This window comes from Homo sapiens, chromosome 17, assembly GCF_000001405.40.
Source record: "Homo sapiens chromosome 17, GRCh38.p14 Primary Assembly".
NCBI classification, from domain to species: domain Eukaryota; kingdom Metazoa; phylum Chordata; class Mammalia; order Primates; family Hominidae; genus Homo; species Homo sapiens.
The window spans coordinates 41,061,379-41,078,813 of NC_000017.11; the positions used below are offsets into that span (position 1 = coordinate 41,061,379).

The 17,435-nt window shown below is 41.5% G+C and overlaps 1 protein-coding gene and 1 pseudogene across 1 annotated transcript, besides 2 other annotated features; one reads left to right on the forward strand and one right to left on the reverse strand.

The window, feature by feature from the left end:
• Positions 3,697-4,234: an enhancer, noted in NCBI's record as "H3K27ac-H3K4me1 hESC enhancer chr17:39221327-39221864 (GRCh37/hg19 assembly coordinates)". NCBI's record gives its function as "activates a minimal SCP1, AML or CMV promoter by ChIP-STARR-seq in primed H9 embryonic stem cells {active_cell/tissue: H9 hESC(primed)}" and the evidence as "EXISTENCE:reporter gene assay evidence [ECO:0000049][PMID:30033119]".
• Positions 3,738-4,501, reverse strand: KRTAP2-4 (keratin associated protein 2-4). The gene has a single exon (NM_033184.4). The coding sequence runs from the start codon at positions 4,465-4,467 to the stop codon at positions 4,081-4,083; it is 387 nt and encodes a 128-aa protein (NP_149440.1). The 5' UTR covers positions 4,468-4,501; the 3' UTR covers positions 3,738-4,080.
• Positions 4,235-4,771: an enhancer, noted in NCBI's record as "H3K27ac-H3K4me1 hESC enhancer chr17:39221865-39222401 (GRCh37/hg19 assembly coordinates)". NCBI's record gives its function as "activates a minimal SCP1, AML or CMV promoter by ChIP-STARR-seq in primed H9 embryonic stem cells {active_cell/tissue: H9 hESC(primed)}" and the evidence as "EXISTENCE:reporter gene assay evidence [ECO:0000049][PMID:30033119]".
• On the forward strand, positions 10,568-10,968 carry KRTAP2-5P (keratin associated protein 2-5, pseudogene; annotated as a pseudogene).

Genomic DNA, 17,435 nt, shown 5'->3' on the forward strand with positions numbered 1-17,435 from the left:
AGTTTTTGGAAGACCAGATTTACAAAATGAATTCCTCCAAAGTCGTACGGATCAAAGAGTGGCAAATATTTAGCAATACCACAGGTCTTCTGTGGAGTAGAAACACTGGTGATGTCTCCCAGTCTTTTTCCAACTCGGAGTCACTCAAAATAGATAACATGTAGCAGTAGTTATTAAAAAGTTTTATTCCCTTTAGTGAAATAAAATAAGTACTCACTTGATACATGGTTTAGCATTCTGTTCTTTGTTTTGGAATGTATACAGAGATGCCAAACTAAAAAGAGAAATATGTCTGTAAATCCACTGCTTTTGTTAACAAAAGAACACAGTACTAAGAAATACTGTTTTCTAAAATTATAGGCTGTTAGAAACCTTGCTCTTCCAAGCCACATCAGTAAGAAGGAAACATTTCACTCTTGCCTAGACAGGATCTAAGTCATCTGGACAGAGAAGCAACCTCAGTACCCAACCCAGGTACAGAATTTCAGACAAGTGACTTGCAGACACAACATTCCCCATTTGTCTCAACTATACAGTTTCCAGTGAAAGAGGACCATAAGTCTGTTTCACAGCTCAGGTCTGGTGTTAATTATTTTTTATACACAGCCCTGTTTTTCTTGAGCCTATGAAAACACTATGTCACGTAATTTTACCCCACCATTCCTCAACATTTTATAATAACATTTCTCCTCCTTTGTTTGGGAGGATGCCCCATGGTCCTCAGCCATGTGGTCTCCCTTGCTGTAGCACATTAATAGTCCTAAGCTATTGGACAAGAGATGTATCCCTGGTCTTTACCACATGGACTTTTTTAGTCATGTTATTCAAGTTCCACACATTCTTCAAGTGCATAATCACCAGGATGGAAACAAGTAAATCTGAAGCACAGTGAAAATAACTTGTGAGATTTTTGTAGTTGGATAGATAAAGAATGTAGTGTTGGTGACCTCTTGTGATGGTGGGCCATGCCCTCTTCTTAATAGTTTTATGAATTATATTTTGTTAGGAACTAGTCTGGAAGCCACTAGATGTTAGGAAAATTATTAAAATTCTAAAATTAGAAAATACATTCCTTAAGGACTTCGTTCTCAGAAATAATCTTAAAAATATCCTCCAATCATAAGAGTCAGGGATGGGATGGGGAATATTGACGGGCACAGGGCAGGAGGAAAATGGAGAAGATAAAGAAGGATTCCAGTCCTTTCTCCACCTCTTTGCAGTTGTCTAACTTAGAGTAAATGACTTACCCTTAGCCAGGTTTCCTCATCTGTAAAATGGGCAGAGTCTTCGGTGCCTGGTGTTCTTCAGAGGCTGGCTTATCATAAAATCCATACAAACATGGAAGACAGAGAAAGGGATATAATTAATTAGATATAATTAGAAAAGAAAAGAGTTTAGTTGTGAGAGACAGAAAAACTAAATGATCAGGGGACTGGTGGAATTTGTTGCTAGAATTTTTTTAAAAATTTCATCTGAGTTTTTTAGATATTCATTTGCCTAAAGTCAGGGAAGGCAAAGTAATCTTTTGAGGTCTATTACAGCTTTGAGTTGTTTAATTCCCTTGGAAGGTTCAATGTGAAAGAAAGAGTCGAACCATCAGATACTTACATGTTGCTCAATCCTTCTTTTACCTGATGCTGCACTCCTATTCATAAATCCTATAATCTAGGACTCATTCCTGTGGACTTGTAGAATGAATTTTTAAAGATTATTTTCATTCTGAGACAGCCTTAATCTGATGCCAAGTTGTTGTGGGTTTTTTTTTTTGCCTTCTTCATTATATTTATTAGAAAATCTATTCCTACTGGTAGATGTAGACTATCCTGAAAAAAAATTACAATTTAAGTTTGGTTAGTAAAGCCCTCCCCTGAATTTGTTCCCATTCCCAGTGAGTTGATATGTAGTAGATAGCACATCTTTTGAGCCTGTTCGATACAGTGATGTCCAAATGCTCCACAAGGAATATAAATGAATGTTACTGGGCATTTAACTATGTGCCAGGCATCTTGCATACATAAAAAGTTATAATTGTTATTTAACTTCCCTAGCAATCTACATTGGTAAATGTTGCTTTTCCCATTTTGCGGATGAGAAAACTCGAGAGTCAGAGAGGTTAAGTTACACTAATGCCAAAATTTTTTCTTTAAATAATTATCTACCTTTTAAAATTCTTGTGGTAAAGACAATTTCCTTTTATTTTGACAACTAAACAAACAGAAATTAAGTACCGGCTACGTATTAAACTTTGAGCTCAGTATTGGAAGCCAAAAACAAACTGTGGTCCCCTCCTTGGAGGCAAAAAAACATATAATCTCAATACAATGCCTTATGGGGAGGGAGGTAAGCTATTGGAACTTGCTGAGAGCTCCTAACCTGTATGTGTGTGTGTGTGTGTGTGTGTGTGTGTATGCATTTGCACATGTGTTTGTGTGATACAGGGGTTGGGACAGGACTACTGGAGAAGACTGAATTGAATCTTGGAAATGAATCAGAGTTAAGTAGGTGATGAAGGTGAAGAGAAAGAGTGTGTAAAAGAACAGATAAGTGAAAGAACATGAGGAAAAGCGAAACATTTGGAACTGCAAATGTTTAATAACTATAAGGTCAGTGTTGCTTGAAGTGAATCTTAGTGGGGAGCAGTGAGACATGGATCTATAGAGATGGGCAAAGGACAGGCAGCAGACCACCTGATGTGCACACACTTCCTAGCCACATGGGTAATCTGAGGACTGGCCTAGCTCTCCTGTAACATCTTCAAATACCAAATACTTGTACCAGGAATCCTAGTGCCTGTCTCTGTTCCTCTTCTGTCTTTCTCATCATCTCCATCATCTTCCTCTTCACTCTTCCTCCTATTCATTGCCTTGCCTCCCCTCTTCACTTTTTATTCATCCCTTATCTCTTACTTTTTGTCTCTCTTTTTTTGTTGTCATTTTATTCCACCTATGACAAACTCAAGATACTGTTTTTTTGCACATTCATTTACATTCACTTCTCTGCCAAACCGATTCTTCTGATTACAGTTTAGCAGGTGCTGTTTCATACTTATTATTATATTACATTTTTTTCTTCACTTTGGGTGTCTTCATTGTGGCTTGTCCTTGTGACTATTCTTGGAAGGCTTCCAGGCCATGCTTGTTAAGCCCTCAAGGAGCTCAAATCCTGGTCTTCCTCTGAAATAATGGTCCTGAAATTCTAATGAATTACATGGAAGTGATAGAAAATAAACAGCCTTGGGCCCCACTCCCAGAGATTTTGATTCATTAGGTTTGGTTTGGGGCCTAAGAATGTGCATTTTAATAGGCAATTGCAAGAGATTCTATTGTGTATGACGCATGGGCCACACTTTGAAAAATGCTACTCTAGGAACTGTGGTAAGAAGATGAGATGCGCTGTGCTGGTCAGTTTACTACCAGTGGTCATTCTGGGCTTGGCATATGCTATTCCCACTTCTACCCCTCTTCATGAACATTGTCTTTCCTTTTGTCTATTCCATTAGACCATAAGCTTCTTGGATACAAGGCATGTAGCTTGTTCATCACTAATCAGGCAGCACCTGTCAACTGGAGGTCCCTTGATAAACAATTCCTGAATGACTGAATAGATGAGATTTCTATGGATAAGGTTTTGCTTAGGTTGAGCTTTGTTTCCCTTGTGCAGGTTCCAAAATCTTGCTTATCTGTGTACGCTAATAAACATGCACTAACGAACAAATCAGGGAGCAGGGCAGTCTGCTATGCCAGGAAAAATTAGTTTATTGACAACAGTGAGCAACACATTGCAAAAGATGATGGTGACAGTTTGAGCAGTAAAAACCATCAGGTTGTAGAATGTGTTTGCAAAGTCCACCCCAGGAATTCTTAAAGGTCGATTTACTATCCATAATGACTAAGGCTGATGTAGACACCTGAAAATGTGGGTGAGGGTGGTAATGGACGTCTGCTTACACCAGGCTGTATCCAGATGGTAAAAATCACTATTGTCACCTTGTGAAAAAAAATCTATTTTTCTTTTAACTTTTTAAAAACACCAGATAGATGTTTAGGCTTCAGTGTATTGCTCTGTGGGGGCATTGGGGTCTCAGCAGGAGGAGGTCCTGCAGGTGGTGCTGCAAGGGGTCGGCTGGCCGCAGGGGGGCCGGCAGCAGGGGGACTGCACAGACACAGGCTGGCAGCAGGTGGTGGCCCAGCAGCAGGGCCTGCACACCACAGCCGTGCACGACGAGGGGCAGCAGGTGATGGGGCGGCAGCAGCCTTCCTGCAGGGAGCAGGGGTCGCAGCACACCGGGCGGCGGCAGGGCTCGCAGATGGGGCGCGTGCAGCGGGGCACGCAGGTCACGGGGCGGCACACGGTGGTCTGGCAGGTCACGGGGCGGCAGCAGCAGGGGTCGCGGCAGCAGCAGGGCTGGCAGCAGCCTCCCCCGTAGCTCAGGGAGGACAAGGTGGAGCCGCAGCAGGAGCCGGTCATGGTGGTGTCTGAGGCTGGTGTGGGTTGGGCTATTGAGAGGAGCTGGATGTTCTCAGGTGTGAATGTCCTCCTCCCCCTCTGGGCCCTTTATATACCCTGGCTGGGAGCTGATGACCCTTCAACATATGATCATTTTCTTGTGCATCTTCTGGCCAATTAAGTGAAGATTTAGCATTGACTAATGGTATTTTGGTCACTCTTCACCTCATACATATTCATGTACATACACCACAAATATTCGCTCATTTTCTTGTATTGTTTATCCTCACTAAATTTAGACATTGGATTCACTTCTGATTAATTTTCCTTTGAAATATTCCTAACCCATAAGAGAGAAAAGAATGTGTTTTCTAAATTAGTGTCTAATCGCTCTGCCCTTTGGCGCTAAAATTAGCATGTTCTTCCTTGTCTTCAAAGGCTCCCATCACCGGCACCCAAGCAGTGACTTGCCTTATTAATGCACATGGGCATGATGGTAGCAGGTTAATTGCATCATCCTAGTGCAGACCAGTAGTCATCTGCTTCACAGATAGCTCCTTCCATGACTCACTTAAAGATAGGCTTGTGGTTTTTCATATGAGCAGGGACCACACGAAATGCAGATCCCTGGCCACTGGTGTGGTCACTCTCCCCTGACTAGGACCTGGGCTTTCCTGCCTTGGTTTTGATGTGTCATCATTCACCTGGAATGCCCTCCTCATCCTTCCAATCCAAACTCAACTTCTACCTTGATTGTAAAACCCTCTTCAAGGATCCATTGCAATTATTATATTTGTAATTTGTTTGGAATTAGTCGTTGCATCTGTAGAGTCCGGGAAGGGATTGCGGAGAATATGTAGGCCTATGCCCTCACTCTACAGCTGAGGTCCTGAGAGTGTACCAAGGTCACACAATGAGGTCACCATATGAGGTCTGAGATCCAGGTCTCCTCAGTCTGCAGTAAGTAGCCTCTACTATGAGTTTTATGCTCATTGGATTCAGTAAACCATGGTCTTTAGACAGGAAAGAAAACATATATTAAAGTAGAAGCCCAGACTTCATGCCACTATGCAATATATCCATGTAACAATGCTGCATTTGAACCTCTTACATTTATACATATTAAACACAGATTTAAAAAAATAAGTAATGAACTTTCCTTTCAGCAGCAAGGTTAGAAGTGGTACTGGAAGAGAATTAGGGAAATGTTTTGCCCAGATGACACATTGTCATCCTGGACCCCCATTGACTCCACTAAGTATGACAATGTGTCTGAGAGCTAGAGAAGGGACCTGGAGAAAGCTAACATGATGCAGGGTTTATTAGTGGAACTTACATACAAGGGTGGTCCAGTGGTGGTATCTGGACAGGAGAACTGCTATTATTTGTAAAAAGCATGCAGTTCACACAGTATTTTCATTAGAACCCTCCACCTAACAACCTCCATTTAATCCAAAACAAAGGGCCTCAATCCCCAGTATGACCTGTGTTCTAATGGATGAGGTGGGGATTCAAATGTCCTTCATAGATAAGGAGTGGATCTCCAAGTTGGCCACTCCCAGATCCTTAGCTCAGAACTCCAAGCATACATTCTTCTTTGATTGTAGGATCATTCTCAGGGTATGCTTAAGTTAAGTTATTGCTGCCAGATGTGTCTGCCATACCCTCCACCTCAGCATACCCTTGAATAGCCCTTACATTCTAATCACACCATTCTTCTGAGATTTCCCTGGGGCTAGGATATGCAGAGGAGCATTGCAACCAGATGTTTCAGCAGCAACATAAACTACTACAACAAAAAAGAATAATGAATGTAACAACAATTGTACTGTATAGAAAGTTTTTCCAAGCACTCAGGAGTTGATTAAACCATGTGGTTACAGGGTCATAAGATAGAGATTCTATAGCAGAAATCTGGGTATCTAGGGCCCACATGGCCTGTGTTACATTGTGAGAGTAATCAGGGATATATACACAAAATTCAGTTTTAATTAATGCACAGGTTCTGCCCTGATAAGCGGTTAAGATGTCCTGGGCCATGCAATTTTGCAAAGTAACACACCTAATTTGGGCAGTTTCTTCAGTGAGAAGAGTAATATCATGGCAGATATCATTAAAGACTGCAGCCCTATGTTAAGCCAGGGCCTCAACTTGCAGCTGTATGTCTATTGTCACCACTTGGGTGGTGAGTGGTGGGGGGAGTGGCGGGGGGGACATGGCAAAAGTGGCCAACGGGTAAAACCACTGGGATGCATGCTTCCAGCAGTGCCTGGCTTTTACAATTTCCCAGTTAGTAAGAATGGTGTCTAAACTGGGCACGATGTATCCCAGCAAATGAGGATGTCCCCAGGTGCATCTACCAGTCCAGTTATAGGGTAAGTAAGGCCAACTGTGGATGCCGCATGCCCACAGCCATCCTAAGGGGTGTGGTAGGCCCCCAGGTGGAGAGTCACTCTGTCGTCGCAGTCAAGTATCACTGGTTACCTGAAGAGATTGGTTTCATTGCTGTCATATTCCATGTCTATTACCTGAAGAAATAGATTACATTACACTGTGGGGGTAGCCATCCCATACTACTGGTTTTAGCTTGTGGCATGCTATTATCATGCCTTTTAATACATGTGGGTGCACAGCCCACAAGCTGTATCTATACTGCTGTTGTCCACCCTGGCCCATCATCTACAGAATACCCCACAGTGGGGGTGACATTAACCTGCTCCTATACTAGGTGGAAAATATGTTGTCTCATCTCTGATGGTGGGAAACTTATCACATGAAGTGTGGTTATTGCTAAAGGGAAATGGGTGAGGGTCATTATACCAAGTATAGAAATGGCTCCAGATACTGAGGTTAGCTGCTTGGATGCACCATGGCAGGCTGATGCTGGAGGAGAAGGGCAGCTCCCTGCAGATGCAACAGTCTGTTTTGTTTTGGGGAAAGGTCGCCATTTGCACCCAGTTGGTGAAGAGGTACACCACCTATGGGTGACAGGTGAGATACCTAGTGGGTAGAAGAATGGGCAAGTTGGCCGGGCACAGTGGCTCACGTCTGTAATCCCAACACTTTTGGAGGCCAAGGCGTGTGGAACACCTGAGGTCTGGAGTTAGAGACCAGCTGACCAACATGGTGAAACCCTGTCTCTACTAAAAATACAAAAAAATCAGGCAGGCGTGGTGGTGCATGCCTGTAATCCCAGCTACTTGGGAGGCTGAGGCAGGAGAATCTCTTGAACCCAGGAGGCAGAGATTGCAGTGAGCTGAGATCATGCCACTGCACTCTAGCCTGGGCAACAAGAGCAAAACTCCATCTCCAAAAAAAAAAAAAAAAAGAAGAAAGGGCAAGTCAGGCCATCTAACAAGACAGGAAGTTGTGTCGTTCTGAGAGATCACCACCCCCAGCAGCAACCTGTGCCTGGTTTGCAATACCACATGGATTGCCCACTTCTGCAACACGTTGCAGCCACAGTAAGACAGTGTGGATATTGTAATGTCCCATAATGACAGGATGATCACTCCCTTGCACAAGTGGGGACTAGGATTGATTATTTTAGAAGTACAAGGAGGAATAGGATGTAAAATAGGTGTGATCTGTATATCATTTTCTACGCCCTTGCCCCATGGAGTGAAAAAACTGTACCAACTGGGGCTGGTTTGTGATTTCCGGGCACATGTAATGATGTGCTCTCCAGTGGGTAGGTCCTATGGCAAGGGCATAGCCCCAGGTTGAGTCCCAGGTTGAGGCAAAGGAGGGGGGTACCATCCCTTACACTGTCAACCTGGATCGTGATGGTGGTATCAGGTCCTTGAGCCAGAAGAGTGTGTGCACTGGGGAGATGAGAGCACACCTGTTAATTCAGGGATATCTTGGGCCTGCACGGCCTGAGTTACATTGTGAGAGTAATCAGGGATATATATACACAACATTCAGTTTTAATTAATGCAGAAGATCCACACTAAGCGTCCAGGGCATGTGATTTTGCAAAGTGATACATCTAATTTGGATAGTTTCATTCAGGGCGCAGATGGGTGCTGGTAAGCAGTGTGTCCACAGAGCCAGAGAGGGCGTCTCCTGCCAGAGTTGTTTCTTCAATGGTTGTTTCATCCATTCAATCAGCCCCGCTGCTATAGGGTTGTATGGCAGGTAGAAATGCCAATGGATATCCAGGGCCTCCACCGATTCCTGCACTTTGTATATGGTAAAGTGAGAGCCCTGGGCACTGTTGATATCAGTGGGGACGCCACAGGCCACATATAACTCCAGTCTTTTTATGGTGGTTTTCTGGGTAACATACTTGCTGGGATACACCTACAGTAGCCCCATGCAGGTGTCTGCACAAGTCAAGGCGTAGCGGAAGCCATCAGATAGGGGCAAAGGCCCTTGGGATTCTGGGACCTTGGCCTTCATCCTAGTATAAAGGGGCTGGCACCTGCCATTCCTCTGTGGGAGGGCAGCGGGCTGAGCCTGAGGCTCCTTTGTGAAGCACTCTTCCAGCTTGAGCTTCTGCCATAGCCTGACCAGAACAGCATTGAACTGTAGGCTCTTAGATAACAGTCTAGATTCAAATCCAAGCATGTCTAAATCGAAAGCTGTGTTTTCACAAATAGGCTTATGAAAATGAGATTCTCCTTTGAATTAATTTGAATAGGCTCACTTTGCACTATCCATTAATCCTCATTATATTGATAAAGCTAAAAATTTAACTAACTATCCCCTCCAGAAAATTTATCAAAATTTACCATAAAACCAACCCTGTCACAAATACTTGGCCACTGTTCTATTTTTATTTTCTTTGTAGAAAGCCATCTGTTCATCCTTGTGTATTGATTGGTGTATTAAGCTGGCTTCACATTGCTACCATGGTTGAATTAGACAGCTATTGCTGCATAGCAAGCAACCACAAACTCTCATAGCTTATTGTAACAAGTATTTATTTATTGGTCATATATTTGTAGGTTAGTTGGGGTTTGGTTGATTAAGGTTGGCCTTAGCTTCTGCCCACAGGTTGGTTTGGGACTTTCTTTTGAATGAGAGTTGTCATATTTAGCAAATAAAAATACAGGTTCCCCAGTTACATGTCAATTTCAGAAAAACAACAAATAATTTTATTACAATTATATCTGATTATGCATGGGTATACTTACATTTAAAAATTATTTGTTGTTTGTCTGGAATTCCATTTTAATGGAGTGTCCGGTATTTTAGGGGCCATCCTCCTCTGAGAACAAAGGCCCAAGGGAACAATCTCACATTTTGAGTCTTCGGGTCATGCCTTCTCATTGGTCAAAGCAACTCACATGGCAAAGTCCAAGTCAGAGGGTGGGAGAGGATACTTCTGGAGTTGGGTGGGAGGAGGGGGGAGAGTAAACATTAATAAGGAATAATCTAATCTACCAAAGTAGAGAATCAATTATTTTAATAATCTTTGTGTGAGGCTTGGAAAAGACTTCTAGAAGATCAAATTAGATTATGTCTATTTCATTAGAAATTCTATTTTGGGATGGGAGTGGTGGCTCATGCCTGTAATCCCAGCACTTTGGGAGGCCGAGGTGGGCTGATCATTTGAGGTCAGGAGTTCAACACCAGCCTGGCCAACATGGTTAAATCCTGTCTCTACTAAAGATACAAAAATTAGCTGGCCATGGTGGCAGGTGCCTGTAATCCCAGCTACTCAGGATAATAATCAAGTGACACAGCATATCCAAGAGCATTGCCTAGAAATCTATATTTATTAAAAACAAAACTGCCTGAGATGTTCTAGGAAGATGCCAAGAAGAGTCCAAGGCCATGACCTTCTCATCAACTCCTTGCTGGGTGCAATTCCATCCATAAGACTGTGGCCTAAATTCAAATATAACTGCGACTTTGTATTCTCAAGAAGATGAATCAGGAGTAGGGCTCTGTGAAGTATGGCATAAAGAGCCAAGCTTTTTTACAAGGCGGGAAAGACCAAAGACTTAGTGACTTGAAAGGATATCAGTATTTCCGGTGAATCTTGTGTGGGTCAAAGACCATTTATCTTGTTGCTTGGTGAGTGTGGCTACTTCCTTGAACCACATGGAGACACACTGTACAGGAAGAAGTGCCTCCTTCTGCTCGTCATCTGCGATTCTCATCTGACACCATGGTCAGCTTCTGTTGTAGCTCTGTCTGCTCTGAATAGAGCTGTGGCCAAGGCCTCTGCCAGACCTGCTGCTGCTGCAGTTGCTGCCAGACCACCTACTGCAGAACCATCTGCTACCATCCCAGCTGCTCTGTGTCCAGCTGTTGCAGGCCCCAGTGCTGCCAGTCCCTGTGCTGCCCCAGCTGCTGCATTTCTAGCTGCTGCCACTCAAGCTGCAGTGTGTCCACCTGCTCCAGGCCCAGCTGTTATAATCCCCAGTACTACCAGCCCTCCTGCTGCCACCCTTCTGCTGCACTTCTAGCTGCTGCCACCCTGGCTGCTGTGTGTCCAGCTGCTGCTGTCCAGTCTGCTACCAGACCACCTGCTGTGGTCCAGTCTCCTATGAATCCTCTTGCTGTTGAACTTCATTCCTGACCACCAGCCCTGGTTCAACCACCTTGTTGTCAGTGTACCAGTCATTCTCATTCCCCTTCTCCACTGGACCTGGCCTTGCCCTGATCCACCACTACATTTATATAGCTCATTGTTCATTCCACCAAGCAACTATTTTAAAAGCAAAAATTTAAATGCATATCGTACAAAACCTCCAACTTCTATGCTTGGTGTGCAGTCAGATGACCAGATATCTCACACTATTTCATTGGAACAGGCTTCTAAGCTTACAATTGCCGAGTGTGGTCTGGACTTTGCAATGAATTACGTCTGGTAGAGTAACTATATCTCAATAAACACTCTCTTGGTATCAAAAACATTTGTGACCTTTCAGTATTTCTTACTGTTGATTATTTATTTGTAAAATGGTTTGAGTTCCTATTGTATGGGCAATAACAAAAAAATTGATATTATATGTATCAGCCAAAGCCTGTATTAGAGAAAATGCCAAATAATTCATTTTTTAATCCAAAACAGATTGCTCACTTTACCTGCCATCAAGTTTATTGAGACAAAACAAGAACTCAATTTTTACTGTAATTAAATTAAGAACAAATTAGCAAGCTATTGGGCTCTGGGAATTGCATAAAATGAATGAGACCCACTTCTTTTCCCTTAGGTAACTCACAACATAATCATGGATTTTTTTTTTTTTTTTTTTTTGAGATGGGGTTTCGCTCTTGTTTCCCAGGCTGGAGTGCAGTGGCATGATCTCAGCTCATGGCAACCTCTGCCTCTCGGGTTCAAGTGATTCTCTTGCCTCAGCCTCCCAAGTAGCTGGGATTACAGGCATGAACCACCATGCCCGGCTAATTTTGTATTTTTAGTAGAGACGGGGTTTCTTCATGTTCATCAGGCTGGTCTTGAACTCCTGAACTGAGGTGATCCACCTGCCTCGGCCTCCTAAAGTGCTGGTATTACAGGCGTGAGCCACCACACGTGGTCTGAAAGTTATTTTTCTTTCCTTTCCCTCTCCACTCAATTAATTCAATTAATCATGAATTTAATTTAAATGCATATGTCAGGGAGAGTATGTTGGTAATATTAGTGAGAAAAAGGACTCTATTCTATTGGAGAAAAGTAATACATACGTAAGGATTGATTCATAGAAATAAAATGTGTCAATTCTGAAAATTCAGGTTAACATGCACAGGTCTCAAACACGTAAGATTATGTGAAGGAGAATCAGATCACAGCCGAATATTTATATCTTTATGAAGGGTAGTCTTATTAAAAAGACATTTAAAAAATTATAGTCCTTTTAAGGAGGAGGGATATGTCAAGATTAATTCATGGTGAGTTCTATGGAAAAATAAGAGGCATAATTTTAGGCTGAAGCCATAGAGTCAGTGGGAAAATCAGCGAGCATGAGTGATGAAACACGTCATTATGGGAAAGAAAGTGATGGAAACCAAATTGGAATTGCAGTTGAGTTCTATTTTTGAGATGCTTCACTGACCCATTAATGATATTCATCCACTCATGCTCCATTAAAGCTCCAATTGCAGAGTTTGCATGCAGGTCTACCTATGAGACATGCAAAGGTTAGGGCTCACTCCACATGACCTGGATCAAGTCACCCAGCTACCTGTGTTTCCTTTATAACTTTGAGATTCCCTTTTGCATTGGGAGTTCAGTTCATATTGTATTTCCTGTGTCTTTTCAAGCCATTTCCTTCCATTTCAAAATGATATCAATCAAAATGATATCAGTAGGCTCAAGAGCTCTAGGCAAAACTTTTAGCTGAAGAGGAAAATAAAAAAGTAAAGTAAGCACAAAACTCAAAACAACATATTCAGAAATTGATATGGTAATGCGACGTGAGAATCGTATCTTTGGGCTCAGGCATCCCTCTTCAATTTATTCCAGGACCATAAATGGTCTATACAAGCTGTTTCTCGTTTCAGTATTGCTTAAGTACCTAGGCCTGAGAAATCTATCAGAGCCTCAAACTAGTAATGATGCCTATTCTGTCATATCTGCATATTGCAAAACTGTATTTGTTTTATTCATTTCTATGATCTCTTCTATGGCACATAAACATTTATAAATATGTTATCTTCATTTTTGAATTTTTTCCTTTTTTTAAAAGACAGGATCTGGCTCTGTCACCTAAGTTGGTGTGCAGTGGCACCATGTCAGCTCACTGCAAAATTCAACTCCACGGCTCAAGCCAACCTCCCCTAGCTACTTCAGCCTCCCAAGTAGCTAGGACCGCAGGCATGCACCACCATGTCTAGCTAATTTTTGTATTTTTTGTGGAGACAGGGTCTCACTATGTTGCCCAGGTTGGTCTTGAACTCCTGAGCTCAAGCAATCCACCCACCTCGGTCTCCCAAAGTGCTGGGATTACAGGTGCAAGCCACCACACCCACTTTATTACCAGAAAATATAGGTATTGTTACCCCATTTTTTAATTTGCCTACCACTTGTGTATTCTTTGCTATTTTTATCCCCTACCACTTTTAGAATATATTTGAATCTTTTTAAATTTTATCAGCTTCATCTCTCAGAACCATTATTTTATGCATGACATCTATACTGTAATGGAATTCTTTATTTTGACTTGTATTTCAGTCAATGGGAATATTTCTTAAAGGAATTTTAAAGGGAAGTTATATATCCCGAGTCCTTGAATCTATGAGGAAATCTTTCCATTGCCTTCACACATGACCAATAGCTTGTGTGGATCAAAATAACAGGGTCTGATTCTGTCACCTAAGCTGGAGTGTGGTGGCACCATTTCAGCTCACTGCAAGCTCCAACTCCTGGACTCAAGCCATCCTGCCACCTCAGCCTCCCAAGTAGCTGGGACCACAGGCATGCCACAATTTTTTTTGCCCTTCAATGCAGTTTAGGCGTGAATAAAATATTGGAAAATAAAATTAACCTTCAGGATTATTTAACATGCTTTGGAAACACAGAGAAAGAATCTCACCAACATCTGGAGCATGGGCACTAGTTTACTTCAGGAACACTTAAGGGGGAGTGTATATATGAGATACTAAGTCTAATTTTAACAGTTTAGTAATAGCAGGTCCTTAAAATGTCAGAAAATTAACTTTTATGTCCTCTTATCCTCTTTGAATCCATTATGATACACCAACTTTTAAAAGGTGTTAAAAAACAGAAACCCTCATCTTACTTTCTCAGGACAGGAGACAATAGCAGATAAGAAAGTGTAGCAAATTTGGGGCAAGAGCAATGGTGGTCAACTAAAGATAACAAAAGGAGCTACAATGTGAATGCATACAGAGAGAGTACCACAGAGTGTAAAGTTGGTTTTCCTTGAATCCTCAGAAAGGCTCAGAACCCGGAGTCACCAGGTAATACCCCTGAAGGCAGGGTAGGCAGCAGGATGCTTCGACCCCTGGATCCCTACCCCACCCTACAAAGTTGGTCATTAGGCCTCCCCCACTTCCAACCAGGAGAAACAAGGGTTATCTTCCAGAAAATTTAGTGACAGAGACTCCAGATTTGGGAATACTAAAGTGAACAAAAGTCAAGAATAGAACAGAAAACAGACTCATGCAGTGAAAATCTGAGTACTGTGCTCAGCATCCAGGACTGATGGCCATAAGCTTTCCAAGCAGGATATTGGAAGATTCTCCTCTAAAGAAACTAAACATATAAATCTTGACTTCTTTTTTGTGGATGAAGGGGAGGAGAGGTGAAGAGATCAATTAACAAGCCCTGCTGTCCACACAGAACTTTCAATTGGCTTTTTAGTGCCATGTTAACCAATATGCTTCAGACACTTGGGAAATGTCTCCAGCCTGACAATTCACACTAATTTAAAAAGAAAAAAAGAAAAAGGGGGAAAAACAAATTTGACAGGAATAGAAACTACAGGGAGCAGAATAGAACTAAAAAATTGTAAAACAAGAACTATTGTAAATAAAATACTCAAGAGAGCTAAGAGAAGAAATTCTGTTTGAAATAAAAACAAGATTCTAAGAAACAGGAGCAGTCAGAGAAGTTGAGTGAAAGCTTGAGAATTAAAATGTGATAGAAAAAATTAGAAAAACGTTCAGTAAAATGTTTGGAAGGTAAAGTAGAACAAGGAGTCAAATAATTTGTTCTCCTGTCTTGAAGATATGTAAAAAAATTTATAAAAAGAAGTGAAAGAAATGGACATTAAAGAAACTATAATAACACAGAGGATCAATTCAGGAGATCTACCACTCAATGAAGAAAAATTTTAGAAAGACAAATGAGAAAACATAAGGAGTCAGGTGTAATGGTTGCCTGTGCCTATAGTCCCAGTTACTTGGGAGGCTGAGGTGAGAGGGTCCCTTGGGCCCAGGGATTTGAAGCCAGCCTGGGCAACATAAAGAAGTCTTGTCTCAAAAGGAAAAAAGAAGACAGGAAGGGAAGGGAGAAAGAAAGAAAGAGAGAGAGAAAGAGAGAGAGAGAAAGAGAAAGAAAAGAAAGAAAGAAAGAAAAAGAAAGAAAGAAAGAAAGAAAGGAAGAAAGGAAGAAGGGAAGGAAGGAAGAAGGGAAGGAAGGAAGAGAAGGAAGGAAGAAGGGAAGGAAGGAAGAAGGGAAGGAAGGAAGAAGGGAAGGAAGGAGGGAGGAAGGAAGGAAAGAAGAGAGGGAGGAAGGAAAGGAGAGAAAGAAAGAGAAAGAGGAAGGAAGGAAAAGAAAGAAAGACAAGGAAGAAAAAGAAAGGAAGGAAGACAGGAAGAAAGGGAAATAGAGAAAGAGGAAGGGAGGGAGGGAAGGAAAGAAGAAGGAAGGAAGGAAATACAAGGGAGAAAACTATCAAAGAAATAGTATAAGAAAATTTCTTTCAGAAGGGAGCTCCAGATTAAAAGACCACCAGCGCTGAGAACAGTGAATGTAAGGCTTACATCAAGATACATCACTGTGAAATCTCAGAATATTAGGGATATGAAAATGGTACTGAAAGCGTCCAATGAGGAAAATAATATGTGGTTCCCATACCAAGGTTCAGGAGGCGAAATGGCATCACACTTTTCAACATCAACACCGGAAGCCAGAAGACAATGGGAAATGCCTTAAAATTTCTCAGTGGGATGTTTTTTAGCCTAGAATTCCATGCCTGGCCAAACTACCAAACAGAAACAAAGGAATAGTAACATTTTCAGATATGAAAAGCCCAAAAAAATCCTTATTGTCCGTGAACCCTTTCTAAAGTAACGTCTGGAGGATGTGCACCACCAACATGAAGAAGAAGTTGACAAAGAGGAGAACACAGATTCAGAAAACAGGAATTTCAAGTCGGAAAATCAGAATTGCATTCAAGATAAATCCAAAAATGGCAACCGTACAGCAAGCCTAGAAAGCAATCAGTGCAGAGGAGAACAGTAAGATGAAGATTTTGGAGGGAGAACTCTAGGAAAAAAGATCTTTCTAAATGGTGTGGTTACAGTACTATTTCTTGACTTTTAAAGTTTAGATATTATCTATTGGCCCACTGTTATGTGTGATGAGAATTTAGCTCTTACATCCCTCTCTATCCAACAGCCACCATTCTTCCTCTCCCTTTGTGTTCCAACTTCCCAATTGACCTGAGAATTCTAAATTACTGTCAAATGTAGTCTTTGAAAAGGTGCTCAACGTCACTAATCATCAGGGAAGTGATAATGAAAACCACAATAAGATATTACCTCATGCCTGTTAGGATGGCTGTTATCAAAAAGTCAAAAGATAAGTGTTGGCAAGGATGTGGTGTAAAGGGAACTCTTATACATTGTTGGTGGGAATGTAACTTGATGCAGCCATTATGGAAAACAGTATGGAGGCTCCTCAAAAAATTAAAAATAGAACTCACCTGTGAACCAGCAATTCCACTTCTGGATACATATCCAAAGTAAATAAAATCACTATCTTGAAGATATCTGCACTTGTATGTACATTGCAGCATTATTCACAGCTACTAAGATACAGAAATATCTATATGCCCATCCACAGATGAGTGGATAAAGAAAATGTATATAAATGTCATTATTCAAAATGCAATTCAGCCTTTAAAAGGAAGAAAATCCTGTCATTTATAACAACATGGATGAACCCAGAGGACATTAAGCTAAGTGAAATAAGCTAGACACACAAAGACCGATACTGCATGATCTGACTTATATGGTGGTTGCATGGGGTGGAATGAGGAAGAAACGGGTAGACGTTGGTCAAAGAGTATAAAGTTTCAGCTATCCAAAATCAGTAAGTTCTGGAAATTGAATGTATGGCAATGTGACTATAGTTAACAATACTGTATTGTACACTTGAAATTTGCTAGAACATAAGTATTTTCACCACAAAAAGAATAACTATGTGAGGTGATTGATATGTTAATTAGTTTGATTGTGGTCATCTATTTCACAATGTATATGTATATCAAAACATTATTTTGTACACCTTGAATATATGCAATTTTTACTTGTCAATTATATCTCCAAAGAGCTTTCAAAAA

Coding starts and splice junctions, on each gene's coding strand:
- KRTAP2-4 (NM_033184.4), bottom strand. CDS start 4,467: ATGACCGGCTCCTGCTGCGGCTCCACCTTGTCCTCCCTGAGCTACGGG.